This window comes from Homo sapiens, chromosome 2 (genome assembly GCF_000001405.40).
Source record: "Homo sapiens chromosome 2, GRCh38.p14 Primary Assembly".
Taxonomy (NCBI): domain Eukaryota; kingdom Metazoa; phylum Chordata; class Mammalia; order Primates; family Hominidae; genus Homo; species Homo sapiens.
Window position 1 is genome coordinate 73,643,643 of NC_000002.12, and position 14,158 is coordinate 73,657,800.

The 14,158-nt window shown below is 42.4% G+C and overlaps 1 pseudogene across 1 annotated transcript in view; it reads left to right on the forward strand.

The window, feature by feature from the left end:
* The first annotated feature begins 1,276 nt into the window (after positions 1-1,276).
* ALMS1P1 (ALMS1 pseudogene 1) overlaps positions 1,277-14,158 on the forward strand; it is a 40,654-nt pseudogene continuing 27,772 nt past the window's right edge. The window contains exon 1 of the transcript NR_003683.2: positions 1,277-1,512. The product of NR_003683.2 is annotated as an ALMS1 pseudogene 1 (transcript). The remainder of the gene's footprint in view (positions 1,513-14,158) is intronic.

Here is a 14,158-nt window from a genome sequence, read left to right on the forward strand (position 1 = left end):
AGAAAAAGCCCTTTTCCACACCAACTTACATGCTATTGAAGGGAAACTTCCCTTCCAAAGATTAGCTAACCTATTGATGATCAGCCACGCTGGGCCCGTCATCTAGGTTAGGTAGTTTGGACTCTATTCCAAGAGCAAGGGGAGGACATTGATATGCACGGAGGGGAGGAGGTGTGTGTGTGTGTGTGTGTGCGCACGCAAGCATCACTCTGGCTGCAGGTGGACAATGGATCTGAGGAGGTAGGAATGGAAGCAGCTACCCCTCAAGGCTCATGCCACATCCAGGCAAGAGCGGGGCCTCCAGTACAGGGATGCAGGTGCTCACTGTACAAGAGCAGCTGGCCCAGAGGCTCTGGTGGGAGCTAAAACTGGGCCTCCCTCTGGTTGCCAAGCCATGAGCCATGGCACGAAACTGAGACTGGCCAAAGGAAAAGGCAACCTTTTCTTATTTGCTCAAAGGCGTTGCTTGCCTGCTAAACTCTGCATCCAGTGGGCTGCATGGCTTGAGGCTGTGCCTAGCTCTGGGTTCACAAAGAAGCCGCCTGGGTTAGCAGAGGCCCATGAGACAGCAGTGGCTTCACCAGAGGGAGGAAGTCAAGAAGGTGAGACATGAGCCGTATGGAGGTGCATTTGGGGCAGAAATGGCAGGAGTTGGAATGATTCACACAGGGAGGAGGATGAGGAAGGGCTCAGAGACGACAGCCAGGCTTCTGGTAGGGGCATTCAGGAAAACACTGGAGAGAGCCCAGATCTGGAAAAGTCAAGGCTTCCCCTAAAGGTGCTGCCCTGCAGCCTTCTTCAGCAGAAACCAGAAGCTGGGAGTCAGCAGCAGGAACCCAGGGCCAGCCAGTGGAGGCTGCTGAGATTCCAGATCTTTGGTACCCAACACCACCTCCGAGGAAAAGTCTAAGGAGCATCAAGTCTGGGCAGGAAGTCCATGGCTCATCTTTAGAGTGTTCTCGCAACATTTCAGTGTCAAGCAGGAGTTGGCCTAGGAATCAAAAGAGGTGAGCGGTGGCTCCAAAGCACCACTGAGTACTTCTAGTGTGAGTCTAACCAATATTCAGTCAGAAACCTGCCGGTCACGTGGAGGGGGAGAGGTTTGTGCTCCGTCCCTGTGTGCTGTCTCTCCCTCCATGCTCACCCGTGGCTGTGGCTTCCTCAAAACACAGCGACCTCACTTGACATTCAGGCGTCTCTTGCTCCCAGGATTTACTGTGACTTCTGCATTTTTGTAGCTTTCCTGATAAAAGCCTGGGCTTTCCTTGTCGGACCTGAAAGATTCATTTATTCATTCAACAAACAGTGGCCGAAGGCTTGTTATGTGCTGTGCCTGGACTTGGCATGAAGGCACCAGATGTCAGAAGCGAGGCTGCTGCCCAGGAGGACACACCTGATGGGGCTCTGGGACCAGGACGATGGTGGAGACATCACATCCGGAATAACTTTGTTAGGAAGGTGAACTTGACAGTTAGGACTTAGTTCTCCTTGAAGACGTCCTTCACATCCCTTGTGAGTTGGATTCCTAGGTATTTTATTCTCTTTGAAGCAATTGTGAATGGGAGTTCACTCATGATTTGGCTCTCTGTCTTTTATTGGTGTACTTGTGATTTTTGCACATTGATTTTGTATCCTGAGACTTTGCTGAATTTGCTTGTCAGCTTAACGAGATTTTTGGGCTGGGATGATGGAGTTTCTTTTGTGGGCATTTAGTGCTATAAATTTCCCTCTACACACTGCTTTAAATGTGTCCCAGAGATTCTGGTCTTTGTTCTCATTGGTTTCAAAGAACATCTTTATTTCTGCCTTCATTTCATTATGTACCCAGTAGTCATTCAGGAGCAGGTTCAGTTTCCATGTAGCTGAGTGGTTTTGAGTGAGTTTCTTAATCCTGAGTTCTAGTTTGACTGCAATGTGGTCTGAGAGACAGTTTGTTGTAATTTCTGTTCTTTTACATTTGCTGAGGAGTGCTTTACTTCCACCTATGTGGTCAATTTTGGAATAAGTGCGATGTGGTGCTGAGAAGAATGTATATTCTGTTGATTTGGGGTGGAGACTTCTGTAGATGTCTATTAGGTCTGCTTGGTGCAGAGCTGAGTTCAATTCCTGGATAGCCTTGTTAACTTTCTGTCTCGTTGATCTGTCTAAAGTTGACAGTGGGGTGTTAAAGTCTCCCATTATTATTGTGGTGGGAGTTTAAGTCTCTTTGTAGGTCTCTAAGGACTTGCTTTATGAATCTGGGTGCTCCTGTATTGGGTGCATATGTATTTAGGATAGTGAGCTCTTCTTGTTGAATTGATCCCTTTACCTTTATGTAATGGCCTTCTTTGTCTCTTTTGATCTTTGTTGGTTTAAAGTCTGTTTTATCAGAGACTAGGATTGCAACCCCTGCCTTTTTTTGTTTTCCATTTGCTTGGTAGATCTTCCTCCATCCCTTTGTTTTGAGCCTGTGTGTGTCTCTGCACGTGTAATGGGTCTCCTGATGGTCACACTGATGGGTCTTGACTCTTTATCCAATTTGCCAGTCTGTGTCTTTTAATTGGAGCATTCAGCCCATTTACATTTAAGGTTAATATTGTTATGTGTGAATTTGATCCTGTCATTATGATGTTAGCTGGTTATTTTGCTCATTAGTTGATGAAGTTTCTTCCTAGCATCGACGGTCTTTACAATTTGGCATGTTTTTGCAGTGGCTGGTACCGGTTGTTCCCTTCCAGGTTTAGTGCTTCCTTCAGGAGCTCTTGTAGGGCAGGCATGGTGGTGACAAAATCTCTCAGCATTTGCTTGTCTGTAAAGAATTTTATTTCTCCTTCACTTACGAAGCTTAGTTTGGCTGGATATGAAATTCTGGGTTGAAAATTCTTTTCTTTAAGAATGTTGAATACTGGCCCCCACTCTCTTCTGGATTGGAGTTTCTGCCAAGAGATCAGCTGTTAGTCTGATGGGCTTCCCTTTGTGGGTAACCCGACCTTTCTCTCTGGCTGCCCTTAACATTTTGTCCTTCATTTCAACTTTGGTGAATCTGACAATTATGTGTCTTGGAGTTGCTCTTCTCGAGGAGTATCTTTGTGGCGTTCTCTGTATTTCCTGAATTTGAATGTTGGCCTGCCTTGCTAGGTTGGGGAAGTTCTCCTGGATAATATCCTGCAGAGTATTTTCCAACTTGGTTCCATTCTCCTCATCACTTTCAGGTACACAAATTAGATGTAGATTTGGTCTTTTCACATAGTCTCATATTTCTTGGAGGCTTTGTTTGTTTCTTTTTACTCTTTTTTCTCTAAACTTCTCTTCTCGCTTCATTTCATTCATTTGATCTTCAATCACTGATACCCTTTCTTCCAGTTGATCGAATTGGCTACTGAGGCTTGTGCATTTATCACATAGTTCTCATGCCATGGTTTTCAGCTCCATCAGGTCATTTAAGGACTTCTCTACCCTGGTTATTCTAGTTAGCCATTCGTCTAATCTTTTTTCAAACTTTTTAGCTTCTTTGCGATGGGTTTGAACTTTCTGCTTTAGCTTCGAAAAGTTTGATTGTCTGAAGCCTTCTTGTCTCAACTCGTCAAAGTCATTCTCTGTCCAGCTTTGTTCCGTTGCTGGCAAGGAGGTGTGTTCCTTTGGAGCGGGAGAGGCGCTCTGATTGTTAGAATTTTTAGCTTTTCTGCTCTGGTTTCTCCCCATCTTTGTGGTTTTATCTACATTTGGTCTTTGATGATGGTGATGTACAGATGGGGTTTTGGTGTGGAGGTCCTTTCTGTTTGTTAGTTTTCCTTCTAACAGTCAGGACCCTCAGCTGCAGGTCTGTTGGAGTTTGCTGGAGCTCCACTCCAGACCCTGTTTGTCTGGGTATCAGCAGCGGAGGCTGCAGAACAGGGAATATTGCTGAACAGCAAATGTTGCTGCCTGATCATTCCTCTGGAAGCTTTGTCTCCGAGGGGTACCCAGCCGTGCGAGGTGTCAGTCTGCCCCTCCTGGGGGATGCCTCCCAGTTAGGGTACTCGGGGGTCAGGGACCCACTTGAGGAGGCAGTCTGTCCATTCTCAGATCTCAAACTCCATGCTGGGAGAACCACTACTCTCTTCAAAGCTGTCAGACAGGGACATTTAAGTCTGCAGAGGTTTCTGCTGCCTTTTGTTCAGCTATGCCCTGCCCCCAGTGGTGGAGTCTACAGAGGCAGGCAGGCCTCCTTGAGCTGCGGTAGGCTCCACCCAGTTCGTGCTTCCTGGCTGCTTTGTTTACCTACTCAAGCCTCAGCAATGATGGGCGCCCCTCTCCCAGCCTCGCTGCCACCTTGCAGTTCGATCTCAGACTGCTGTGCTAGCAAAAAGCGAGGCACTGTGGGCGTGGGACCCTCCAAGCCAGGCGCGGGATATAATCTCCTGGTGTAGTGTTTGCTAAGACCATTGGAAAAGCGCAGTATTGGGGTGGAAGTGATCTGATTTTCCAGGTGCTGTCTGTTACAGCTTCCCTTGGCTAGGAAAGGGAATTCCCTGACCCCTTGCACTTCCTGGGTGAGGCGATGCCTTGCCCTGCTTCGGCTCATGCTCAGTGGGCTGCACCCACTGTCCTGCACCCACTGTCTGACAAGTCCCAGTGAGATGAACCTGGTACCTCAGTTGGAAATGCAGAAATCACCCGTCTTCTGCGTCGCTTATGCTGGGAACTGTAGACTGGAGCTGTTCCTATTCGCTCATCTTGGAACTGCCCAACACTCCATCCTTATCTATAACCCAGCATTCTTCTATACCCCATAGAAAGCACCCCTTACACTCGGACATGCACAGGAAGGAAGCTGCTAATTGGAGGGAAGACTCACTCACACTGTCCCCAGGCTCCACTCCAAAGGTGGCCAGTGCAGCTCTTTCACCTCCATTACCTCCAAGTGGTGCTGTCACTCACAGTAAGCCCAGAAGAGCAGTCTGACCTCCACATAGAGCCCCCTCATTTCCACTCCTCACTGCTGGCTGCTGGCTCCACGGACCCTCTAAAACCACCCTTGGTAAGATCACCAGGGGTTTCCTAACTGCCAAGTACCAGTAATGCTTTATAGTCCTCAAACATGCTGAACGCTAAGGGAGTTCCTGCATTCATAAAGCTGCTTGCGGTACCTGGGTGCTATGGTCTGAATATGTCCCCCCTAAACTCCTATGCTGAAACCTCATCCCCAAGGTGATGGTATTCAGAGGTGGGATCTTGGGAGGTGATTAGGTCGTGAGGATGAAGTCTTCACCTATGGGATCAGTGCCCTTACAGAAAGACCCAAAGGAGCTTGTTTGCCCCTTCCGCCATATGAGGATACACAAAAACCGCCATTTATGAGGAACAGGTCCTCACCAGACATAAATCTACTGGCACTTTGATCTTGGATTCCCAGCCTTCAGAGCTATGAGAAATAAATTTCTGTTTACAAGCTAAATGTAAAGTGTTTACCAGTTTATGATAATTGTGTTATAACAGACCGTATGAACTAAGGCACTGGAGTCAGTCCAAGAGCTTAGATGTAAGGGAAATAAGATCAGAGCAGAGATGTGCAAGAGACTGGCTCCTAGCAGAGCAACTAAGAGTCAGGCAAATAATGTCAACTGAGGAGGCTTCTGGGTCCAGCAGCCACCCAGCTGCTTTAACACATGGCTCTTCATTTCCTATCCCCTTCTCTCCTGGTCTGTCTTTCCCTCTTTGATGGTTCTTTTTCAAGCTTTCATTTTGAGTGTTCCTCAAATGGAAGTTTTCCTCAAAACAGAAAAGTTCATATTTCCTTCCTAATAATTAATAGGAAAAAAATGCCAAATGGATAGAATGGACTCCGGATAAGAATGGAGAATTTTTTAAAGAAGAAGCAAATATGGTTTATGAATATATTTTAAAACTGTGCAAAAAAGAATATACAAAAAAACTCACTAGAAATCAAATAAATAAAAATCAAATTAATATCCAGGTTTTACCTATCATTGTAAAGAATTAAAAGAATGGTATGAGCTAATATAGGACAAGCACAAAGAAATGTGCAGACACACACACTTTTGACGGAATACTGAAATGGGAGATCCATGCTGGAGAATCATTACACAGCATGTCAAAATCCTTTTTTTAAATCAAAACAGAGTCTCGCTCCATTGCTCAGGCCAGAGCGCAGTGGCAGAGTCATAACTCACTGTAACCTCAAGCTTACAGGTTCAAGTGAGCCTCGGCCCTTGTCCTCCTCTCAAGTAGCTGGGCCTACAGGCACCCACCACCACATCTGGCTAATTAAAAAAAAAGTTTTTTTTAGAGACGGGGTCCTGCTATATTGCCCAGGCTGGTCCCTAATCCTTGGGCTCAAGCAGTCTTCCCACCTCAGCCTCCCAAAGCACTGAGATTTCAGGAGTGAGCCACCCTGCTCGACCTCAAAGTCCTTTGAAAAGACTTGATCGAAATTCAACTTCTAGGGTTAGAGCTCAAGAAAGTAACTGGTCAAATGTGCAAAGATGTTTGCATAAGGATGTTTATCACTGTAAAGTTTATTGTCATAGAAGCAACCGAAAGTGCAACAAGAGGGGACTGGCTGAATAAATCCTGCTCTATTTCTGTAGCACAGTACCTCACAGCCATGACCAATGCTGATGAGGGTTTACTGACATGAAAAACATTGCCCAACTATAGCACCAAGCAAGAAAAGATTATAAAACAATATGTTTGGATTTATTTTTGGAAAAATGGTATTGAAAAATGATATCCACAAACAAGCATGCAGAGAGAAAAGTCTGAGTGGTTCCACCAAATGTTGGTAGCAGTTACCTCTGAAAAGAGGAATTGTGGGGGATTCTCTGCATAAAAGATAAACTCTGAAGGTCTTTGCACATTCTAGGCACTTGGCCCTGCTTTCAGACAGTGAAACTGAATCTTGGGAGTCTAAAGGGACTCAGTTATGATTGTGAGCTCCTAAAGGTAAGACCCGTGTTCGGTTTTATTTTATTATTTCAATTAATCCTATTAATGTGCACAATTCAGTGGCATTTAGTACATTCACAATATTGTGCAACGACCACCCCTTTCTTGTTCCAAATCATTTTTATCACCGCAAAAGGAAATTCCTTATTCATTAAGTGGTTCCCCCTTATTTCCCTCTCTCCCCAGTCCCTGGCAACCTAATCTGCTTTCTGTCTCTATGGATTTATTTATTGTGGATACTTCATATAAATGGAATTGTACAATATCTGACCTTTTATGTGTGGCTTCTTTCAGCTGATGTTTTCAAAATTCATTCGTATTGCATCATGCATCAGTACTTCATTCCTTTTTAGGGCTCAATAATATTCCATGTATGTTTATACTGCACTTTGTTTATCCATTCATTCATTGATGGACATTAAGGTTGTTTCTACGTTTTGGTTATTGTGAATGGTGCTGCTGTGAACATTCAGGTACAAGCAGTTATTTGAATACCTATTATCAATTCTTTCGATGTATACCTAGGAGCAAAATTGCTGGTTCATATTTTAATCCTGTTTAACATTTTGAGGAAATGCCAAACTGTCTTCCAAAGTGTCAGCTGTAGTTTACTTTCCCACCAGCAGTGAACCTTATTTTACTCCACTGCCTGCCTCAGCACTACTGCCTAGAACATAAAGGGAAGAAGCAATAGCTGTTTTTTTACCAAGAAGTTATTAGATGCCCAGCACTGTGAGAAAGAGGGCTTCCCATGTTGTGCAATTTCATGTTAACAGCCTTGGAGCTAAGGTTGGTATTATTAACATCCCCATTTGGCAAATGGGAAACTGAGGTCCAGAAACCTGAGGTTTCCTCTCCACGGCCCCATATGGGAAGTGAAAGCTCAAACCTAAGGTAGCTCTGACTCCAAAGCCTGCACTGTTTTACTTTTTCAGTACAGCATGCTGACCCTGCAGGCAGGGATTTGACAAGTGTTTAGTGAGTCTGAAATTCACATAAAGCCTCACAAGCCCAGAGAAGCAGCTCTGTGTGGAGGCGCATAAGATTCACCAGTAAGGCCCCATCACCCCCATCCTGTTGCCAGTGGTCAGGACACCCTTGACCAAATTCCCATATGTGACTAAGGCTCTGTTCCTTCTTCAAGATCCAGTTTAGTGCTACCTGCTCCGTCCACTTCTGACCACCCAACCAGATGAATCTGGTCCCAGTCCCTCCCTCCTTGGAAGCCTTTGCATTTCTCATTAAGCACTTGTATTGCTGCCATTTGTTGCTTACTTAATAATTAACTTATCATAGTTAATTAGACTAGAAATTAACAGTTCAACTACCCTGATAAACTATTTTGTCTTTCTATTGCCTCTATGAACCTGATTATAATAAATCATTGTATTGTTGGAGTCACTGTTATTCCCAGAGCTGTCAGGTTTCAGAGCAGCGTGTCAGTGCCACCCCATGCCTGCATCCGGGAAGATCACTCCTCCACTGGACCAGCCCAGCCTGGAAAGGGGCCAGTGAGGCGGAAGGTGGACAATCCAGGGCCAATACATTCTGGGAGTCTCAGAGGAAGAGAAAAATCGATTCAGACTCATTTAACATAGGCTCCTGGAAAGGATATCATCTCCCCCAATCTCTCATCAATAACCCAACATCAGATCAGTGCCCTGGACTTATCATATGAAGCAGAATGAAAGTAGACAGATAGGTCATCCTTGGTTAGATGTCCAGAAATCCGAGGATGGTGGTCCTAGCTCTTCAGAGAGGACACGTTCTTTAACCTAACCTTTTAACAAATTCTCTACAGAAGATATCAGGTCCCAACATTTCAAGTAGCTTCGTAGATATAGGTAATCAAAGGACTAATTATGAAAGTGTAGATGGGTAGAGGGGAGCAACAAGGATGGCACAGGAACCCATAGCCCTGAGGAGGAGGGAGAGTTGTTGGAACCTGAAAGGACCTGGGCAGAGCAGGCTGCCCTTAGAGCAGGCCTGGGGCCAAGGCACAATCAATACCAAGCCTGCCTCACGCTCTCTTCCCTCCACTCCTCAACTTGCTGCTGGCTTTCAGAAAAGTTAAGAACTTGCCATTTCTACCCCTTTGCCATTGTTGTTGTCTTACCATAAGGCGGGGAGCAATATAGTATCCAGTTTTCTAGATATGGAAGTGGAAATCAGGTGTATATACCCAGTATATTAGTACCTATTAGTATTCTTATTGGTATTACTTTCTAGATGTTATGTAACTGTAGCTTTGGATTTTCTATTTAATTCAAAAGACATATAAGAGTTTTTTTTTTGCTAATTCCATGTTGGATTTATTGTCACTACTTATTAAGTTATAATTTTAATGTATTGTGATTAGAGATTGTACTGTGTTCTATTTGTGTTTTAAGGATACATAGAGATTTTCTTTGTGGCTAAATATAAGTAATCCATGGGTGTTTTAAAGAAGGTAGAGTTTCCAAATAGAGTATGACATTCCAGTCACTGTCAGATTCCACACAACATTTCAGTCAGCCACAGAACATATAAATGATAGCAGTCCCATGAGATTAAAATAGTATATTTTTCCTACACCTTTTCTTTATGTAGATATTTTAGATACACAAATACTTACCACTGTGTTAAAATTACCTACAATAGTCAGTAGAGTAACATGCTGTACAGGTTTGTAGCCTAGGAGCAATAGGCTATACCTTATAGCCTAGATGTGTAGTAGGCTGTACCATCTAGGTTTGAGTAAGCATACGCTGTGATGTTCACACAACAATGAAATCACCTAACAATGCATTTCTTAATATACATCTATTAAATCATTTTATTAATTAAATTATATTCTTCCTGAATATTGATTTTCTTAATCTGTCGAGAACTTCAAAGAGTATATTTTAAGTTAATTGAATATAGCTTTTGTTAATTGAATGGTTTTATATATATATATATATATATATTTTTTTTTTTTTTTTTTTTTTTTTTTTTTGAGAAGGAATCTGCCTCTGTCACCCAGGTTGGAGGGCAGTGGCGTGATCTCGACTTACTGCAACCTCTGCCTCCTGGATTCAAACGATTCTCCTGCCACAGCCTCCTGAGTATCTTGGACTATAGGTGTGCACCACCACACCCGGCTAAGTTTTGTATTTTTAGTAGAGATGGGGTTTCACCATGTTGGCCAGGATGGTCTCAAACTCCTGACCTCAAGCGTTCCACCCACCTCGGCTTCCCAAAGTGCTGAGATTACAGGCATGAGCCACAGCACCCGGCCTGGTTATATATATTTTTATTTTCGGCACATAAATATTAATGACATGAATATTAATGACACTTTTTTCACTGTGAATCATACCATAAATCATATAAAGTAACTTTTATTTTACATTTTGAATATGTTTTGCCTTTTATTCTACTTCATCCAATACAGTTTTATTAAATGTGGATTTGTACCATTGCTCTTTGTCCATCCTTTTACTTTTGGCTTTTCTGAGTCACTTCACTCAAGTGGAAGTAGCACCTACTTGAATTTAACTTTTTTCCCCCACCCAATTTGAAGGTCTTTTTTTGAAGTGAGTTCAACTTAAGTTCATTGTTGTAACAAATATGTTTGGTTTAAATTTTATCATTTCCCTTTTTGTTTTTTTTTCCTTTTCTGGTAAACTTATTAAGTTAATGTTTGTTAAACTAAATTCCATTTCAAACGGTGGGAAGGAGTAAAAAACACCTAACATAAAGTTTACCATCTTAAGCATTCTTAAGTGTACAGGTCAGTAATGTTAAATATATTCACATTGTTGTGAGACAGATCTCCAGAACATTTGAATATTGCAAACCTGAAACTCTATACCCATTGAATAACAACTTCCCTTGTCCTCCTCCCCCAGCTTCTGGTAACCACCATTCTACTTTCTGTCTCTGTGAATTTGTCGATACCAAGTTTGGAAGATAAGAAATATCTTTTAATTCCTGATTTTGTGTGATAAGAGAAATAAAATATCTACCCTTTAGTGACTGACTCATTTCACTTAGCATAAGATCCTTAAGATTCATCCATGTTGTAGCATGTGACAGGATTTCCTCCCTTTTTAAGTCAGGATAATTTTCCGTGGGTTGTGTGTGCCACATTTATGTATCCATTCCTCAGTGGATGGGCATCTGTGTTGCTTCCACATTTGCCTATTGTGAGTTGTGCTGCTGTGAGCATGGGTATGCTGTTAGCTTTTTAAGTCCCTGCTTACTGTGCTTTTGGAGACATACTCAGAAGAGGGATTACTGAATCAAATGGTAGTTCTAAGTTTCACCTTTGGAGGAATCTCAATACTGATTTCCAGAGCAGTTGTGCCATTTTACATTGCCACCAACAGCACACATGAGACCCATTTTATCTACATCCTCACCAATACTTGTTATTTTCTTTTTTTTTTATAATGACCGTCCTAGTGGGTGTGAGGTGATATTTCATTGTTGTTTTGATTTGCATTGCTCTGATGATTGGCGATATAGAGCATCTTTTCACATGCTTGTTGGCCATTTGTATATCAACTTTGGAGAAATGTCTATTCAATTCCTTTGCCCATTTTTGGTCAGGTTATTGATTTTGTTGTCATTGTTGAATTCTGAGAGTTATTTGTGTATTCTGTATATCAGAATCATGAGTTGCAAATATTTTCTCCCAATCCGTAGGTTGTCTTTTACTCTGTTGAATGCATCCCCTGAGGCACAACTTAAGCCTGGTGGTCCCATTTGTCTATTTTTGCTTTTGTTGCCTGTGCTTTTGGTGTCATATTCAAGAAAGCACTGCCATATTCAATGTCACAAAGCCTTTCCTCTATGTTTTCTTCCAAGACTTTGATAGTTTTAGGCCTTACACATAGGTCTTTAATCCATTTTGAGTTAATTTTTTTACATAAGACTAGAGTCCAACTTCATTCTTTTGCATGTGAATGTCCAGGTTTCCAAGCATCATTTGTGAAAAATCTGTTCTTTTCCCATTGAGTGGTCTTGGCACCCTTGTCAAAAATCATTTTGGCCAGGGACAGTGGCTCACACCTGTAATCCCAGCAATTTGGGAGGCCGAGGTGGGTGGATCACCTGAGGTAAGGAGTTCAAGACCAGCCTGGCCAACATGGTGAAACCCTGTCTCTACTAAAAATACAAAAAATTAGCTGGGTGTGGTGGCGCACATCTGTAGTCCTAGCTACTCAGGAGGCTGAGACAGGAGAATCACTTGAACCCAGGAGGCAGAGGTTGCAGAGAGCCAAGATCGTGCCACTGCACTCCAGCCTGGGCGACAGAGCAAGACCTTGCCTCAAAAAAAAAAAAAAAATCATTTGACCATATGTGAGAGTTTATTTGTAGGCACTTTATCATATTTCGTTGGTCTATTCGTCTGTCTTTATGCTACTATCACACTATTTTGATTATTGCACCTTTGGTAATATGTTTGGGTTTTCGGTTGTTGTTGATTATTTTGGTTTGTTTGTTTTTTGTAGAGATGGGGTCTCACTGTGTTTCCCAGTCTGATATCAAATTTCTGGGCTCAAGTGATCCCCCAGTCTTGGTCTCCAGAAGTCCTGAGATTACAGGTCTGAGACGCCGTGCCCAGCCAGTAATATGTTTTAAAATCAGGAAATGTGAGTCCTCCAACATTGTTGTTCTCTTTCAAAATTGTTTTGGCTGTTCAGGATGTCTTATGATTTTTACTGATTTCTTGCCATTTCCAATCTTTTTTGTTCATTACTATGTAATATATGCTTCTTATTTTATTTTATTTTTGGAGATTGAGTCTCGCTCTGTTACCCAGGCTGGAGTACAGGGGCATGATCTTGGCTCACTGCAACCTCCACCTCCCGGGTTCAAGCTATTCTCTTGCCTCAGCCTCCTGAGTAGCTGGGATTACAGGCATGTGCCACCATGCCCGGCTAATTTTTGTATTTTTAGTAGAGATGGGGTTTCACCATGGTGGTCAGGCTGGTCTTGAACTCCTGACCTCGTGATCTGCCTGCCTCAGCCTCCCAAAGTGCTGGGATTACAGGCGTGAGCCACCATGCCCGGCCATAATATATGTTTCTTTGAGCTGTTTTTCTGATAACTTAGCGGCCATGTAATCTAATTAACTAATATCCTTCAACCACTTTCTCAATCTATCACTCTCAGACACGAAACAGTATCTGTTGACTCTATCATATGAAAAATTAAGAAAGTGACTGCACTTCTCCCCACCTGTGCCCCCACATACAGACATTCCCCCAACTAACCAATAATGGTTATATTTTGTGGATTTTGTGTCAGCTCATTGTAGTAGTATTACTACATTGACTAGCTTTACTTATTCGTGGATTCTTGTAGGTTTTTAAGATTTTATACTATGCAGCCATAAAAAATGATGAGTTCATGTCCTTTTTAGGGACATGGATGAAATTGGAAATCATCATTCTCAGTAAACTATCGCAAGAACAAGAAACCAAACACCGCATATTCTCACTCATAGGTGGGAATTGAACAATGAGATCACATGGACACAGGAAGGGGAATATCACACTCTGGGGACTGTTGTGGGGTGGGGGGAGGGGGGAGGGGTAGCATTGGGAGATATACCTAATGCTAGATGACGAGTTAGTGGGTGCAGCGCACCAGCATGGCACATGTATACATATGTAACTAACCTGCACAATGTGCACATGTACCCTAAAACTTAAAGTATAATTAAAAAAAAATTGAACAAAATAAAAAAAAAAGATTTTAAGTCTAGTTACTTTTCTAGGGTATGTCTCAATGTAGGTCAAGCTCTGTTTTTTTATTAATTGAGATAAAATTCACATTCCATACAATTCTTTTTTAGTATATAATTCAGCATGTTTTTGTATATTCAGAAAGTTATACATCCTTCACCCCTAATTCCTGAACATTTTTGTCTCCCCAAAAAGAAACCGTGTGCCCATTAGCAGTTACCTCCCATTACCCTTGTTCTTGCACCCCCGCCTCGCCCTGGCAACCACTAATCTACTTTCTGTCTCTATGGGTTTGCCTATATGAGACATTCCACATAAATGGAATTGTAAAATATGTGGCTTTTTGTATCTAGCTTCTTTGACTTAACATGATATTTTTAAGGTTGTAGCGTATATCAGTACTTCATTTTTTGGTTTGCAGAATAAAATCCGTTACGTGGATTTACAACATTTTATTTATATATTCATGAATGGATGGATACTTGGGTTGTTTGTACTTTTTTACTTTCACA